Below are 17,159 nucleotides of genomic sequence, written 5' to 3'. Positions count from 1 at the left end.
GGAGTTCTAGCTGGAAATTTCTTCCTTGTTATTGTTCTCCCTCAGCAGTTGATGGCTAAGTTAATTCTCTTTAGTTTTGTCATGCTCTAAAGCACACATTGCCAAGCAATGGTAAGCTTTATGAGGAAAAAAAGCAGTGATGGTGTCCATCAAAGTCTTAAAGTTGCATTTTTAAACTTTGGCTTGACCTGATGTGCCATTCAAAACGGCTTCAAAAGATGATTTTTTTCAAGAAAGGTTCAATATGTCCCAAGGCTATCGGTTTTGAGTTAAACTGGGTGAAGTAGAAATATTTTACTCATCAGCTTTGCAGTCACAGAGTTTGCCTCAGCTAGAACAAAACTGCTGAGGCATTTAGAGAAAATTAACCCCCCATCCTGGCGGCCAGATGTGACTGGTTTCTGATGAATGCACATGAGTGGGCTGAAAAATCAAGAGACTGTGAAATTCCTGTCAGGTCCGTGCAGTGCAGAATGGGCTATTGACTGCTTTCTATATTTCCCTCCATCATTCTTCTTGAACACTGCCATTAATTTCCTCTCCTCCTCTGACTTGTGTTTTCTCCCCTCCCTCTTCCCTTTAGCTCTGTCAGCTGCAGAGAAGGATGCACACACTGTGGCAGGAGCACTTCAAACTGGTGGTCCTCTTCAGCCAGATGAGGCTGGCCAACTTCCAGACAGACTCTCAGGAGAGTATTCAGAAAATATTAGCTGTGCAGGTAGGTGATTGCAGGGAAGTAGGAAAGATCATTCTGATCTAGATTGAAAAGCAAATGATGGGTAGTGTGATGAAGCATTAAAACCATATCCCATCAGAGTTTTATAAATTTTTAACCTCTTTAATAAACTGGAATTGCATGAAGAATGAATTCAGTAAGTTAGCACATATACCATGCATACTTTGGGAGAAAAGGGAGATTGGACTTATTTCTCACAAACCTCAGAACTGATTTCTATAAATACATTTAGTATAAATAATTTTTTTTCAAATCTTCAGGCTTTGCAGATGTCATCCAGCTGTTTAAAAGATGTTGACACAAGATACCTTGTGCTGATTTTGTGCAAAATCCACTTCAGTGAAAATAACCCTCTTATGTTTACTTAGTTTAACTGTTGTCTTTCCTTTTCTATTTTGCAAGAGGCTCATCCTAAGCAGATTTGGAAATGACTTTATTTGAAAGATAAGCAACTTGAGACTAGAAAGTAGCTGTGGTTCTAGATGCATGTGAGATTTTACTCCTTGTTTCAATAAAAACATTTAGCAGATACATTGTTTCATTTTAAGAATGATATATTTTAGAAACCCACATTAAATATGTGAAGACAATTCTTAAATATTACTTAAACTTTTAAAAAATTAATGTTTTACCATATCACATGTTACTACCTGCATAAAACATGACCTCCCAAAGAAAAACACATACTACCTTGTTCTATTAAGTAACAAAAACTAGAATGCCTGTTCTGTGAAAAACAAAAACATAAAATCACACTTTTCAGTAATATGAAATGAATGCTGAACCCTAAACCAAATCTTTTTCTAAACATTTTATTATACACGCACTTCATATTACTTTTAATTCAAGTAAAGGAAGATTTTGCAAAGCACTTGAATAGCTATGAAGCGATTTCAAATTTCATTTTTGCTGTTGTCTATTTTTTGATATTTTCTTCTGAGGATTGTGTGTGTGTGTGTGCTTTATATATGGGTTGTTTTGACAGTGGGTTATAAGAAAAAATTTAAAATAATAGAAGAAAAAGGAAGATTTTGAAAGGCAGTGCTTAAAACATGTAGATTTAGTAGAAATTTATGTACAAACTTGAGTACAAACTACAATTGCATTATTTTAGAAGTCAGGAGCATCTTGTTTTCCTTAAGTCTGTTAAAATGTAACACATTATATTGTGGCTGGAACCTGTGAATCTCTTTTAAATATTTAAAAGTAATCTGCATGTTCTAATTAGTATCTTAGAAAAATCTATATTTTTGTCCAAATGTTTTTAAAAATCTACAAATGATAAATTCTCACTGTGAATTATTATGTCTTTTCAAATATTAAAAATGTCATTAGAAATTATTTGAATATCAGTAAAGTGATTCTCTAATTCATACCTTTCAATAATCCTTGTTTTAATTTTTATGAGAATTTCACCAACATATTGTTTACCAAACTTGATTTTAAATTGCTTATTTGTATGGCTGTTACATAACAGTGGAAATGAAGGGATGGGATAGGTTAGGTAGGGAAACTCAACTACTCAGCACCTAGAGACACAGCAGCAAGGTTGGATTGTATTTGGGGAACGTGAGCAGCATAAATTAGTGCCTCATTTTCTTATCTATTGGAGATGGCTTCCATTTAGAATATTTCAATTTTGGCTTTTAATAAAAATGTGAAAATACAATTTTCAAAATCTTACTACAAAACAGTGGAAATATGCAATCCTCTGGGGAAAAAAATCAAGTCTACAACCTTCAGCATGGTACACAACAATCTTCATGACCCAGCTTGTGCTAATAATCCCAGCTTCATCTTCTCTCTGCTTCAGTTCTTTAGTATGTTTCAGCCACTCCAAAATTCTTGCTAATTAAGAAACTTGCTGTGAAACTCATTCTTCTTCTTTTGTGTTTATACTCTTCCCTGTTTCTGCAATACTCATTTTTATCATGCCTGTTTAAAAACACCTGATCAAGCTACCATTGACTTTCTTCACAGAATTGGAAAAAAACTGCTTTAAATTTCATATGGCACCAAAAAATAGCCCGTAGAGACAAGACAATCCTAAGCAAAAAGAACAAAACTGGAGGCATCATGCTACTTGACTTCAAACTATACTACAAGGCTACAATAACCAAAGCAGCATGGTACTGGTACCAAAACAGATAAATAGACCAGTGGAACAGAACAGAGACCTCAGAAATAAAACCACACATCTACAACCATCTGATCTTTGACAAACCTCAGAAAAACAAGCAATGGGGAAAGGATTCCCTATTTAATAAATGGTGCTGGGAAAACTGGCTAGCCATATGCAGAAAACTGAAACTGGACCCCTTCCTTACACCTTATACAAAAATTAGCTCAAGATGGATTGAAAATTTAAATGTAGAACCCAAAGCCGTAAAACCCCTTAGAGAAAACCTAGGCAATACCATCCATGACATAGGATGGGCAAATTCTTCATTACTAAAACACCAAAACCAATTTCAAAAAAAGCCAAAATTGGCAAATGGGATCTAATTAAACTAAAGAGCTTCTGCACAGCAAAAGAAACTAGCATCAGAGTGAAGAGGCAACCTATAAAATGGGAAAAAAAGTTTGTGATCTACCCATCAGACAAAGGTCTAATATCCAGAATCCACAAGGAACTTAAACAAATTAACAAGAAAAAAACAACCTGATGAAAATGTCGGCAAAGGATATGAACAGACACTTCTCAAATGATGACATTTATGCGGTTAACAAACGTATTAAAAAAGCTCATCATCACTGATCATTAGAGAAATGCAAATCCAAACCACAATGAGATACCATCTCAAGCCAGTCAGAATGACGATTATTAAAAAGTCAGGAAACCATAGATACTGGCGAGGTTGTGGAGAAATAGGAATGCTTTTACATTTTTGATGGGAATGTAAATTAGCTCAGCCATTGTGGATGACAGTGTGGCAATTCCTCAAGGATCTAGAACTGGAAATACCATTTGACCCAGCAATCCCATTACTGGGTATATACCCAAAGGATTATAAATCATTCTACTATAAAGACATATGCACATGTATGTTTCTTGCAGCACTATTTACAATAGCAAAGACTTGGAACCAGCCCAAATGGCCATCAGTGACAGACTGGATAAAGAAAATGTGGCACATATACACCATGGAATACTATGCAGCCATAAAAAAGAATGAGATCATGTCCTTTGCAGGGACATGGATGAAGCTGGAAGCCATCATTCTCAGCAAACTAATACAGAAACAGAAAACCAAACACCGTGTGTTATCACTCATAAGTGGGAGTTGAACAATGAGAACACATGGACACAGGGAGGGGAACAACACAAACCAGGGCCTGTAGTGGGGTGGGGGGTAAGGGGAGGGAGAACATTAGGACAAATACCTAATGCACGCAGGGCTTAAAACCTAGATGATGGGTTGACAGGTGGAGCAAACCACCATGGCACATATATACCTATGTAACAAACCTGAACATTTTGCACATGTATCCCAGAACTTAAAGTAAAATAAAAATAAATACATAAATAATAAAATATAAATAAATAAAACCACCTGACCCAATTCAATCACTTCCTCTACAAAATGATTCTGAGTCCTTCCCCAACCTTTCTGTGCAAGATGAATTAAATTCTACCTTACTTGTACCCTGTATATACCCACGAACCACAATTGTATTTTCAGCAGCTAACCACTCCTACATGTAGCTTGTCCTCCTTTCTGGAAGATTCTAAGCTCCTTCAGGCCTTTATACCATCAGTGAAATCCTTTCAATTCTCCCTGGGTTGTATTTTAGGGTGTATTGTAGCAAGGCTACTAGGGGGCTTGATAATACCCTATGTCTATCTTGTTTTCACTTATATCCAATTGTTTTAAAGGAAAACATGCTAGAGTGACTTAATGTATTTGTGGAGTGAATCTGCAGGTATCAATGTATACAACATGATCCAACATGACTAAAAATTGCATAACAGACCAGATGCTATTGGTTTTCATTTTCCTGTGGCTTAGTATCTCGATTCCTTTAAGTGCCGATGTCAGGGGGTCTAAATAATGTTTCCTATTCTCAAGGTAGTATTAAAATGATGCCATAAGATTTCGGTGAACTATTCAATGCAAAAATCATTTGATGAAGGTTTTGTAAAGTAAATTGTATATAACCAATATTGAGGAAAAGCAATTCAAAAATCAGTTAAACAGAAAAAAAGAAATTTTGTTTTATCCTTGGCCTTGGAACAATTCCTTACAGGGCCACACAAAGGCATGACTGGCAGATCTACAGTTGGCAGAAAACCAGGTGGGCCAGATAAGCTTTTGAATTACATGATCAAGCAGAAACCAATAAGATGAGTTATAACTGGAACAAAGAATTGGTGTATCTGACTTTGAAGCCCTTTATATGAAAAAGATTTAGGGATTTCAGTTGACCACAATTTTAATATGAGCGAAAGTGAGCTACTATAAACTTGGAACCAAAGGCCTGTCCCAGCCCTAGTAATCACAGACAACTTCTTGACTCTGACAGTGTATGGCATATTTTATATGAGGTCCTAACTTCATGTCAGAGCTCTTACGAAGTACTATTATCATTTCCTTTCTCCTCCCATTATTTTTTATTTTTACTTAAACTTGTGGTATTTATTACCTTTTTGGCATGTTATTTGGAAAAAAGACTGAGCACTAGCAAATCATTTAAATGAGAGAGTGAAGAAGCTACAGCATATGAATGTGGTCTTAGACTGAGTAAGCAGAGGCATTTTTATCTGGAAGGAGGTGAGTCCCATAAGATAAATTGCACTTTTTCTTACATTGAGTATATCTGTGGTATTTTATACAAGTTTGGGAAGCATAATTTAAGGGTCATATTGACACACTAGAGAGCAGCAATATAAGAAAGATTAAAGAGTGGGAGAAATATTTAAAAAGTTGGAATGTTTAAACCTGAAAGACAAAGGCTTTGGAAGGACAAATATCTGAAGGACTGCAAGTAAGGGTTGGTATATATAGTTTGTTGAGCTCTAGAAGCCAACACTGGGAACAAATCATGGGAGAGGTTGGAAAGTGGGTTTAGGGTCAACAGGAATAAATTTTATAACAAGTATTTCTGTCCAAGCGTGCACTTCTGGTGTTCAGATGTTAGATTAAACAGGCCAGGTGCATTAGGGAAGATGTTACTACAGTGATTGAGGGGAAGCAAATGGACTGGGGGTCAGTCCAGAGGGCACCTCCTCAGGGATGTGCTCCCCCTAGTAGGTTCCTATGACCTCTTTGTGCAAGTATCTGTGTGTGTGTCTGTGCCTTCTCACCCACTAGTATGTGAGTCTTCTCAACTCAGAAAGCATGTCTTATTTCTTCATCTTCATCTCCCTGGCACCAGCTGCAGTTCTTGGAACATAAGTATAAAAATTTTGTTGAGTTAGTGAACTGGTTTAGTAAGATTAAATGTGATAACTCCAAAAGTTCTTTCTACCTCTAGGTGCCTACAGTTCTGTTACTTAATAAACAAAAGCATTCACTGGTTGCTTTGCCAGGAATTCTGATAGCATAGGTTTAATCATTTAACACACACACACATACACAAACAACTAGATATAGGGATAGTTTCCTATTTCTGGAAAAGAATTGTGTAAATGAAGGAAAGTCAGGAAAAAAACCACAACAGAAATTTAAAATCACTTAGCAGTGTGATGTAAAAGGAAATCTCTGATTCTGTGTGATCTTTTGAAACACAGAAGAATTTATAGAAAACATGCATTTTGGACTTTTAATATATATACATTTAGAGATATTATGCTCAAGGAATAACATTAAACTCCTAAATATTACTGGTTCACTCTATATGGTAATAGAAAAAGTATTTAATTATAGTTGCCTATAATTTAAGAATATATACGATAAATCTAAAATTGGATTTTTCTAATGTAAATTAGTACAGCCATATGGGAAACAGTATGGAGATTCCTCAAAAAATAAAACTATAACTACCACATGATCTGGCAATCCCACTACTGGGTATATAGCCAAAGGAAATGAAACCACTGTGTCAAAGACATATCCGCATTCCCATTCCCATGTTCATTGCAGCACTATTCACAATAGCCAACACTTGAAATCAACCCAAATGCCTGTCAACAAATGAATGAATAAAGAGAATGTAGTATATCTACACAGTAGAATACCATTCAGCCATAAAAAAAGGAATTAAATCATGTCATTTGAGACAACATAAGTGAACCTGGAGGATATCATGTTAGGTAAAATAAGTCAGACACAGAAAGTGAAATAACCACATAATCTCATTCACATGTGGAATCTTAAAATATTTGTCTCATAGAAGTAGAGAGTAGAACAGTGATTATCAGAGAATGGGGAGAGGCTAGAGAAGAGGAGGATGGGGAGAGATTTGTCAACAGGTACAACGTTACAATTAGACAGGAGAAATAAGTTCTAATATATTGCACGATAGGGTAACTACAGTTAACAATAATGTACATTTCAAAATAGCTAAAAGAGGGGTTTTTGAGTGCTGTCACAAAGAAATGATAAATGCATGAGGAGATGAATATGCTATCTATCCTGATTATATAGTGTATGCAGGTATTGAAATGTCAAATTGTACCCCATAAATAGGTACCATTATAATGGATCAATCAAAAAATTAAAAAAAAAAACAAAAGTATATATGAAAATTACAAACACAATTAAATTAGACCAATATAAAAAGAACATTCTATATGATTCCATTCAAATAAAATTTAAAAACAAAACAAAAAATTTGTCAGTTTCAAAATACTAGAGAAAAAAAAGTACCATAAAAAATTAGATAATTCAAAATGCAAGGAGTACAGGAAGAGCAACAAAATGTATAAAGTAAGGCTAAATGCATTAATGATACTAATAACTGTAAATGGTTTTATTGCACAGTTTAAAGTTACAGATTTGTAGATTGGTCATAAAAGCAAAATTCATGTTATTTAGAAGAAATGCACTTCAAGCAAATAGAAACTGAATGAAGATCCTGGAAAAAAAAAAGAATAAAGAATTTCAATTTTAAAATGAGAGAGAGAAAATTCAAGGAAATAAAGAATTAGAAAACTCAAATTTGGATCTTTTATGTTAATAAAAGATATAGTCTAAGACATCAATCCTGAACGTAATGCACATGACAACATAACTTTATAATATATAAAGTAAGATCTGGTTAAAATTCAAAGAAAACTAGACAAATCCACAATCACAATGGGAAATATTGGCACATCTTGAACTTTTTGGAAATAAAAAAAAAAAGAGCATCACATATCAAAACCTGTGAGTTGTGATTCAATTGCAAAGAGATTCAACTTTAGAAAATATGTTAATGTAATTTAATATAAACACAGATTAAGGGAGAAAGGCAGCATAGTTTTAATCAATGCTGAGAAGCATTTGCTAACAATAACAATATACTTATTCTAATAAAAGTTACAAAATAGTTTACAAATTTAACTTCATAAAATGTACTTGATAATTTGATAAAGAAGGTAGAGATACCACTCAGAAAATGGACAAAACTGAGAATCAACAAAAAAAACTTTAGAATTAATAAGACAGTTATTTAAAATGGCAATCTAAAGTATATTTTCTAACCATAATTAACAAAAATTTAGCTCAATCTTTTTGGAGAAAGCTACTAAACAATGCCAGAAAGACATAACCCAAATAAAAGTAAACATATATCATTTGCATGGATGAGAAGATTACATATATATACCTAGATATCAAATTTTAAATCCAAAATTTTTAAAAATCCATAAATAAAAATCCATTCAATACAATCATACTCAAAATCCGAACAAAATTTGTGTGTGAAGCTCAAGAAGGTGATTCTAAATGTATTTGGAAGATTAAAATCCACAAGGATAGCTCTAACACTTTTTAAAAGGAAAAATTGTTGCTGGGTTGGGGTGAGGGAACTTATGCCACTGAGTAGCAAAATATATCAAAAAGTTATATTAATTAACACAGCACAACATTAATGCAAGAATGGATAGAAAGATCTGTAAAACAGAATAGTTGATGAACATTTTTTAAAGGGTCATATAATAAATATTTTTAGTTTTCCAGGCCATACAGTCTCTGTTGCAACCACTCAACTCTGCCTTGTAACAGGAGAGCAGCCATAGACAGTAGTATATAAATGGATGCAGCTGTGTTCCAATAAAAATTCTTTTACAAAACAGACAGCAGGCATGAAGCTGCTCACTGGAACAAAGAATCCAAGAAAAGCCCCACAAATACTTAGACTTTAGAATATAGTGAGAGTAGGATTTCAAATTGTATATGATGAGATGGACTATTCACTTGCCAGCTATGTGAGATAAAAGTAAATATCCAAAATATACAGAATAGATTATTTTGTATATCTATTTTGTATATTTATATACATTATAGAGTAAACATTTTTAAAATCTATTTTTTAAAATATAAAATGTTGTATAGTGTTAAGGTACACTGAGGGTAATAAATTTGACTACATAAAAATAAATACATTTTCATGGAAAAAGATATAATTAAAAATTGATTCTATTATATATCTTATATATTTTTATATATAAAATAAGCATTTATTTAAATCAATAAGAAATAATATAACCCAATAGGAAAATATTTCAAGTTTCATATATGAATAAATGATATATGAAAAAATGCCAAATATCAGAAGTACAAAAAAATTAATAATATAAAATAATTTGTTTTCCGTCATCATGCTGGCATGTTTTTCAAATATATTAATTAGTGGTGATTATAGTGTAAAGAAAAGTAAACTTTCATATTCTGTTGAGGACTATGTTGTCCTCAAAATTTAAAATCCTATATTCCTTAATAGAACAATGTCATATTTTATACTAAAGATACACTCCCACTTGTGTACCAAGAAGCGTGTTCTAAGGTTGTTCATGATATAGCACTAGTGATAGTGAAAAATTGAAGGCAATGTAAATACCCATTGAAGACAATGTAAATATCCATCAATATATGAAGACATAAATAAACACACATATATCTAAAATATGTCAGGCTAAACAGGACTTTAAAAGAATCAGGAGGAACTTTGGGAAGCCAAGAAATTATGTCAAAGAAATAGTAAAAAGAAGAAAAACATACAGAATAACATCTTAACCAAATGACCTTAGTTAGGTAAAAATAAATGCATAGCATTCTTTATTTCAGTAGTCTATATTTCAGTTGTGTGTTTATATTTTACCTGTAACTATCCATATTTAAATCTGCAGAAATAGGTCTAGAAGGATGCACACTTACTGACACAGAATTTTTGGAAACGAAGTAGGATTTGTGATCTGTGTGGCTGAAGGGATTGATGAGAAAGAAATTTTGCTCATTTTTGCTCATGTATTGATATATTTTTATTTTGTTTTACAATTCATTTGTTAGGTAAATAATTACTGTAAGACTATGTGCCAGTCACTGTTTGAGGTGCCGGGTATACAGTAGCAAGCAAAACAGACAAAAATCGTTAACTTAATGGAACTTACCTTCCAGTTGTGGAAAAAAGACAGTAAACAAACAAGTTAAAGATACAGTCCCGCTCTGTTCTAATGAGAAAAACAAAATAGAGAGGGGGGCATATGAAAGGACAGGAAAGATGCTGAAATACATTCTAGAAATGTTTTTTGCATTAATGCTTGTGTAAATAAACAGTTCAAAGGGTAAACTTTTTTAAAAAATCTCTCTTTCTATGGGATATTTTCTGAAGTGAAAATATACACTTAACCGCTCTGAATGCTAGAGTCTGAGTTTTGGAGTAGATGGGTTGACAAGTTGGTTGCTGACTTGGTTTGTATCATCTGGGACGTGAAGCAGGTATAAACAGCACCTATCCAAGGGTCACTGTGAGAATTAGATGAGATGATGTATATACAATGTGCCCTGTACACAGTAATGTGCCCTGACTACCTTAGCTCACTTTCTTCTCTTTTTTCTCCTGGTACTGTGTTAAGACGACTCTGAAAATTCAACATTTTGCCAAAATTAATTAATCGTGGAAACATTCATACTTCCCAGTCATTTTCCCTTCAGGAACTGGTGACTCCATGGATGTCATTGCAAACTTGAGAATTCAAGAAACTACATATAGGCACACAACACCTCTAGTCATATAATGTAATAAAATAAATGCTTGGACAACTTCAATTTAATGATTCCTGCCTCAGCCTTTAACATATGCATAAACACATAAACAAAAAAAAGAAAACAAATGCTTAGTTAAAACATCCAAATTAATGAGCCACATTTAACCAAATATCTTCCTTTAAATGTAAATCAGCATTCCACCCTCATCTAAAGCTGACTATAGCTAATGAATAAGTGCCTTTTGCCAAAAGTTAGAGTCAGAAAATTCTAAGCTGAGTTTATAAGCTAATTTGTTCTACACCCCTACCTTTAGGAATGATTATGTTATTATTCTCCTATGGTCAAATGCCTCTACAATTCCATTTTGATTGATATGGGTAAAATGTAAATTACCATAACATTCTGAAACACTGAATTTATTCTGTACTTATTGATTACCAACATAATGTATACAATACACATCATGTTTTTAACCTTAAGCAGTTTGCTGCTAAGTTGAAAAATATCAATTAATTTCAAGGCATATTTTAGGGATTCCCACAATATGAAAGGCATTTTGCTAGACACTTGTGGTCCAAAGGTAGAAGACATACTCTCTGTCTTTAAAGAGCTTGAATCTCATAGAGGAGGTAGACACAATATATTGTGTAAATACAAATGAGGGCAGTAAGAAGAGCACTTAGCTCAACCTGAGAATGGAAGGCCGTTCTCTGAAGGAGAGAACTCATAAACTACATCTTGCAAGGTGAGGGTACATCGACAAAAGGTAGTCAGGGGGTTATATAAACAGGGAGCAAAGATATATGAGAACAAAAACAGTATTGTGTACAGGGAAAATTACTAACAATTTTATATTAGTAGAGCATAAAAATGCAACACGGGGAGCATCAGAGATGAAATGAAGAGGGAGATATAAAAATATTCAGGAATAATAATTACATGATTAAATATTACCAGGTACAGACAGTAAACTTTACAATTGGCCAGGAAATAGGAAGAATTACTTCAGCCTGAATTCAGGGAAATGCCTTTGTAAGAGTGGGACTTAAAACAGGAATGAGCAACTGAATATAAAGGGAAGAATGGAAACACTGTGAGGTGGGGAAAGGGAAGCAGCTCAAAGCAGAGAAGTATGAGGGACTTAGGAAACAGATTCCTGGGATATGGAATAGACATTCTTGTTTTGTTTCTTTTTATTTAATGCAGCATTTATCTAGCCATTACTATGTGTCAAACTTCGTCCTCCATGCTCATCCTCAGGACATAAACCTAGGCAATTTGGCTGTGAGGTACCTGTTCTTAACCACTATACCATGGCAATTCCCTGTGTGTTTTTTACTGAGATTAGATTATGTTGGAGGAAGACAGTGTGAAACAAGAGTTAGAGTAAGGTCTTTAATAAGTCCAGAAATATCAGGCTAATTTAGGGTTGATATTTCAGAAATGTACTAAATATTTAGTAAATCATTCTTGACCACTCAGTTACCAAACCGAGTGCTAAAATATCAGCATGCACTTCTTAGGTATTTTTTGTATAGTATTAATGTAACTTGATTTATTATCTGCCGATGGTGAGTGCACTGAAACCATAAAAAGTATAGAAATAATATGGCCATTTTGGTGAAAAACATAAATTATAGATCCAATTAATTCAAAGAACCCCCCAAAAGAGATACACATAAAAAAATACCAAGGTAAATCATAGTAAACTCCTGAAAACCAAAAATAAAGAGGTAATCTTAAAAACAGCCAGAGGAAAAGAAACAAAAAATTACCTCTAACATCTTATCAGAAAAAATGGAGACTAGAAGACATAAAAGAATATCTCAAACTGCTGAAAGAATAAAATACAAAAACAATCAGCCCAGAATTCTCTACCCAGAAAAAATATCTTTCAAAATTAAAGGCAAAACAAAGATATTTTAGATACATGAAAGTGGAGAGAATTGCTGACCAGTAGATCTGAATTACAGTAAATGCTAAAAGAAGTATTTCAGCTTGAAGGAAATGACCAGAAGAAAACCTGTATCTACAGAAAGGAAGGAAGAAGAATAGCTATGAGAAATATACTGGCAAATGTAAAAGACTCTCTTTTTATTGTCTTCATTTATTAAAAAGACAACTGAATTTAGATACAAAAATTACAACATTGTAGTATAAGATTTACAGTATATATAAATGCAAAATAAATTCGAGTAATAGCATAAAAGATAGGAGAATAAATAGAATTTTGTGGTGCAAGTCTTAAATATAAAATGATTATGATATTGACTCATGGAGACTAAGTGAGAGATGTATATTGTTACTCTCTTTTAAAAATGAAAAGTGATATCACAAAAAAGCCAATGATCAGATTAACATGGAATTCTAAAAAGTGTTTGATTAACCCTAAAAAAAAAGACAGTAAAGAAAAAACAGAAATAAAAAATAAATAGAAAACAATGAGAAAAAATAACAATAGATCTAAATCCAAGCACATCAAAAATTATATCAAAGTGATTAAAATCTCCCACTAAAAAGCATATATTACATTAGACCAAGGGTCCTCAACCCCCAGGCTGCAGACAGGTACAAGTCCATGGCCTATTAGGAACTGGGCTGCACAGTAGAAGGTGAGCAGCCAGGAGCAAGCATTACACACAGCTCCGCCTCCTGTCAGATCAATGGCAGCATTAGATTATCATAGGAGCACGAATCCTATTACACATGCAAGGGATCTAGGCTGCCTGCTCCTTATGAGAATCGAATGCCTGATGATATGAAGTGGAACAGTTTCATCCCAAAACTATTCCCTGCTCTGTCTGTGGAAAAATTGTCTTCCACGAAACCGGCCCCTTGTGTCAAAAAGGTTGGGAACTACTGCATTAGATAACATACAAGACTCAATTTAAATCGTCTGTAAGTGACACACTTTACAAAAGAAAAGACTGGTAACTTGAAAGTTTTAAAGATGGAAGAGTATACCATGCAACACCAAGCTCAATATGGTTGGTGAGTCTATATTAATATCAGATAAATTTCTCAACTAGAAATATCATCAGGAATAGAGAGAGACATTTCATAAAAAGAATTAATGAATTCATCAAGCACATATAAAAAACCCTAAATATGTATGTATCTAATAAAAGTTGAAAATATATAAAGCAAATATTGAGAAAACTTAAAGTAGAAATAAAATAATGTATAATTATAGTTTGAGATTTCAATACTCGTCTCTCAGGAGTTAATAGAACATAAAGACAGAAAACCAGTAAGAATATGGAAGAGTTGAACAACACTATCAACCAACTTGCCCTAATTGACATTTAAGAAACAGTCCATCCCAAATAGCTACATATGATTGTTTTAAAGTGTATACATAACATATAAAATTTCCAAATATAGACCATATCCTGGGTCATGAAGCAAGTATTAATAAAAGTAAAATGATTGAAATAGTAAAGAATAAGTTTTCTAACAACATGGAATTATTATAAATGAATAATAAAAAGATATCTGAAAAATCCCTTAAATATTTGAAAATTAAATTGCACACTTGTAAATATATTATGGGTCAAAAAATTAATTATAAGAAAAATTAGGAAATATCTTGAACATAATTAGAAAGTTCGTGCAGGATTAATCCCAAGTGGTGAAATTGACAATCCAAGGGGCATCAGGCTGAATCGATTTTTGGGGTAGAATTAGAAGGCCTGTATGGGTGAAGCATAGTGCTGGGGTAGAGAGGAGTACAAAATGAGGTCAGAGATGTGATCAAGACCAGATTTCTGTGGGTCCAATTTAGGGACTATCTTTATTGCTTAATTAGCACCTAATTTAGCATTTAGCGTATAGAACCTAGACTAGCACCTAGACGTATCCTGACAAGAAAGTTGAATAAATGAATAAATGAAGTTTTTCTTGACTGTTGATGTAACCAAATCTACTCTATTTTTTTCAAATATTGACTGTTGTCAAAATCTCCCTTTGAGTGTGTTTAAGAGCTCCTTCTTCCCCATCTAGTCTCTAATTTCCTATTTCACCTCAAAGTTGTTTCCACTCACTCTGTTTCTAACCATTTATTCTCTAATTCTTTGCTTTTTATTCATTGGTTATGATACCTGTTTTCTGATTCTCTCACCTCTTCAAAATATCTGGAAGATTTTGACAATATCCATGAGTGCCTGTGGATAAAAAGTGTAGCCTTGGATCACCTATTTTCCTTCCCTTTAAAGATAAACAAAAGATAAACACAATTCATATATTGATATCTAAGATAAAAGTGCATTTATTTCACAATGTGTCAATATGATGTAGCTTTAGGAGATTAATAAAACATTTGTCAATATTCAATTCCATGAATTAAATTATCTACTCTTTTTATTCTGTTAAATGACATATTAAGCCAAAATGTATTTCTTCCCTTGATTTTAAAATAAAATAAGCTTATTTCTGATCACTTTTATTGGAAAGACATAAATTTTATGTATTCTGATTTTTTCTTAGACTTAACAACAACAACAAAAGACTCCAGCATTTTTATTTTTTTTTAATTCACTCTATGCCAGCAGGACATTTTTCAAGTGGAAGAGCCATGTCAATGGTGTGGGGGAGAGGAGTTTTTCAAAGACAGAACTTTTCGTTTGAAAATTAGTGACTAATGGAGCATATCCAGTAGGTATTTTTCATACAACTTAGCATCATCATTATATAATGATGCTGCTTTGATGTGAGATTAACTCAGGCACATGATTTTTCATCCAAAAGTATCAAGATCATAAAACAATGAACAGTGCAGTTATAACAAGAGAAAAAAAATTAGGATACATTTTTAAAAGAAAACTCAAAAAAGATGAAAACTTGAAGCAGCCTTGTTCTCATAAATGGTGCCAAGTCTATCATAGACCATAGACAAAGAGAAAATTATGAAAATGGAGAAAGGGACTCAGTAAAACAATGTGAGAATGGCATGTTATAGAGTTAAAATGAACCAGACTCAGTTTTTATTTTTGTTTCATAGAAAGTGTACACCAAATGAGAACTAAAGTTCAATGCACTATGTATCCTACCTCAATCCAACAGAGTCTCATAGGTTCTTAAACATAGGAGGCTTAACCTTTGGATTTTCATTCATGTAAGAAACTGCACATATTATCAATAGGAGAAAATCATCTAACATGACCAAACCTTGACTTGAAAACTCTTCTCATTCCTTTCCCCTGCAGATCCCTCAGTTGGCAAAGGGAATATTTTCCAAATGAGTGCTTATGATCTTGACAAAACCAACTAGAATCCAGTCAAATATAAGACATAAATTTACCTTACATTCACTTAACAGGTTTCAGTTTCATCAATATCTGACTTGATAATTGTAACAAACCTCTCAGATAGGATGGGAGAACTTGTTACCACATTTGGGGGATTTGGTAACTGAATTGTAGAGAGCTGAGTTACGGGTCCAGAGACTCATAACCAGAAAGTGATGAATCTGTGGACTAACACCTTGACAACTGTGAGTTCCACCCTTAATGCCTCTTAGTGAACAATCCCTCTTAGTTAAAAATCAGCCTGTGGTCACTTCAGTTTGAGCCCTTGTTTGAGTGACTCCACTATAAATCAACCCTTAACCAAAAAGGAAGGCAGCAAGCTTGCAGAATTAAAGTCTCAGGCTGGGACAGTTAAGTCAGGAAAGCTCAAAGGACATTGTCATTACACTACAGAATGTATAGACTTCTATGTACCTTAGTAGGGTTTGAACCTGCTTCAATTATTGCCATCAGGCCCTGACTTCGTCAAACATCTATCACTTTACAGTACACATTGCATTCTCTGCTACACGTTTAAACATAAGCTCTTTACCAAAACAAACCTGCTGGAAGTCCCTCTGTACTTGACATTACTTGAACTAATTATGGTATTTCAACACAGCTCCAGTAAATGTGTTGATAGACATATCATAGCTTATAAACACATCTATTGGAATGCTAACCATGGTTACAAAGCAGATTATCTTATTTAAAGACACTGGTTTTAAAATTTAGACATTTAATTTAATTATCTTTTCCCAGAAGTATATAAGGAAATCAGAAACCTAGTGTGAATAACATTATCTTCACAGAAATGAAAACTTGCAAGAGCATTTTTTGCCACAAACTCAATAATTTTAGTATAATCACTAACTATGTTTTTGTTTTACAGAACCAGTATGATTTGGAAAAAGAATAAAATTGCTTTTAAAGTACAAAAATAATTATGAACCACTTCAAACGTAATGTCTGTGTTTTATTTCTCATCAGAATTCATTAGTGTGTAGC

The 17,159-nt window shown here is 33.4% G+C and overlaps 1 protein-coding gene across 8 annotated transcripts in view; it reads left to right on the top strand.

The window, feature by feature from the left end:
- Window positions 1–17,159, top strand: part of CCDC178 (coiled-coil domain containing 178) — a 503,635-nt gene that overhangs the window by 465,776 nt on the left and 20,700 nt on the right. For all 8 annotated transcript variants that reach the window (NM_001371120.1, NM_198995.3, XM_011525951.2 and 5 more), the window contains one exon: window positions 584–718. In NM_001371120.1, coding sequence (NP_001358049.1) covers window positions 584–718 — 135 coding nt within the window. The remainder of the gene's footprint in view (window positions 1–583; window positions 719–17,159) is intronic.

The sequence above is a fragment of the Homo sapiens genome, chromosome 18 (assembly GCF_000001405.40).
Source record: "Homo sapiens chromosome 18, GRCh38.p14 Primary Assembly".
Lineage (NCBI taxonomy): Eukaryota > Metazoa > Chordata > Mammalia > Primates > Hominidae > Homo > Homo sapiens.
This window is presented reverse-complemented; position numbering and strand designations above follow the sequence as displayed.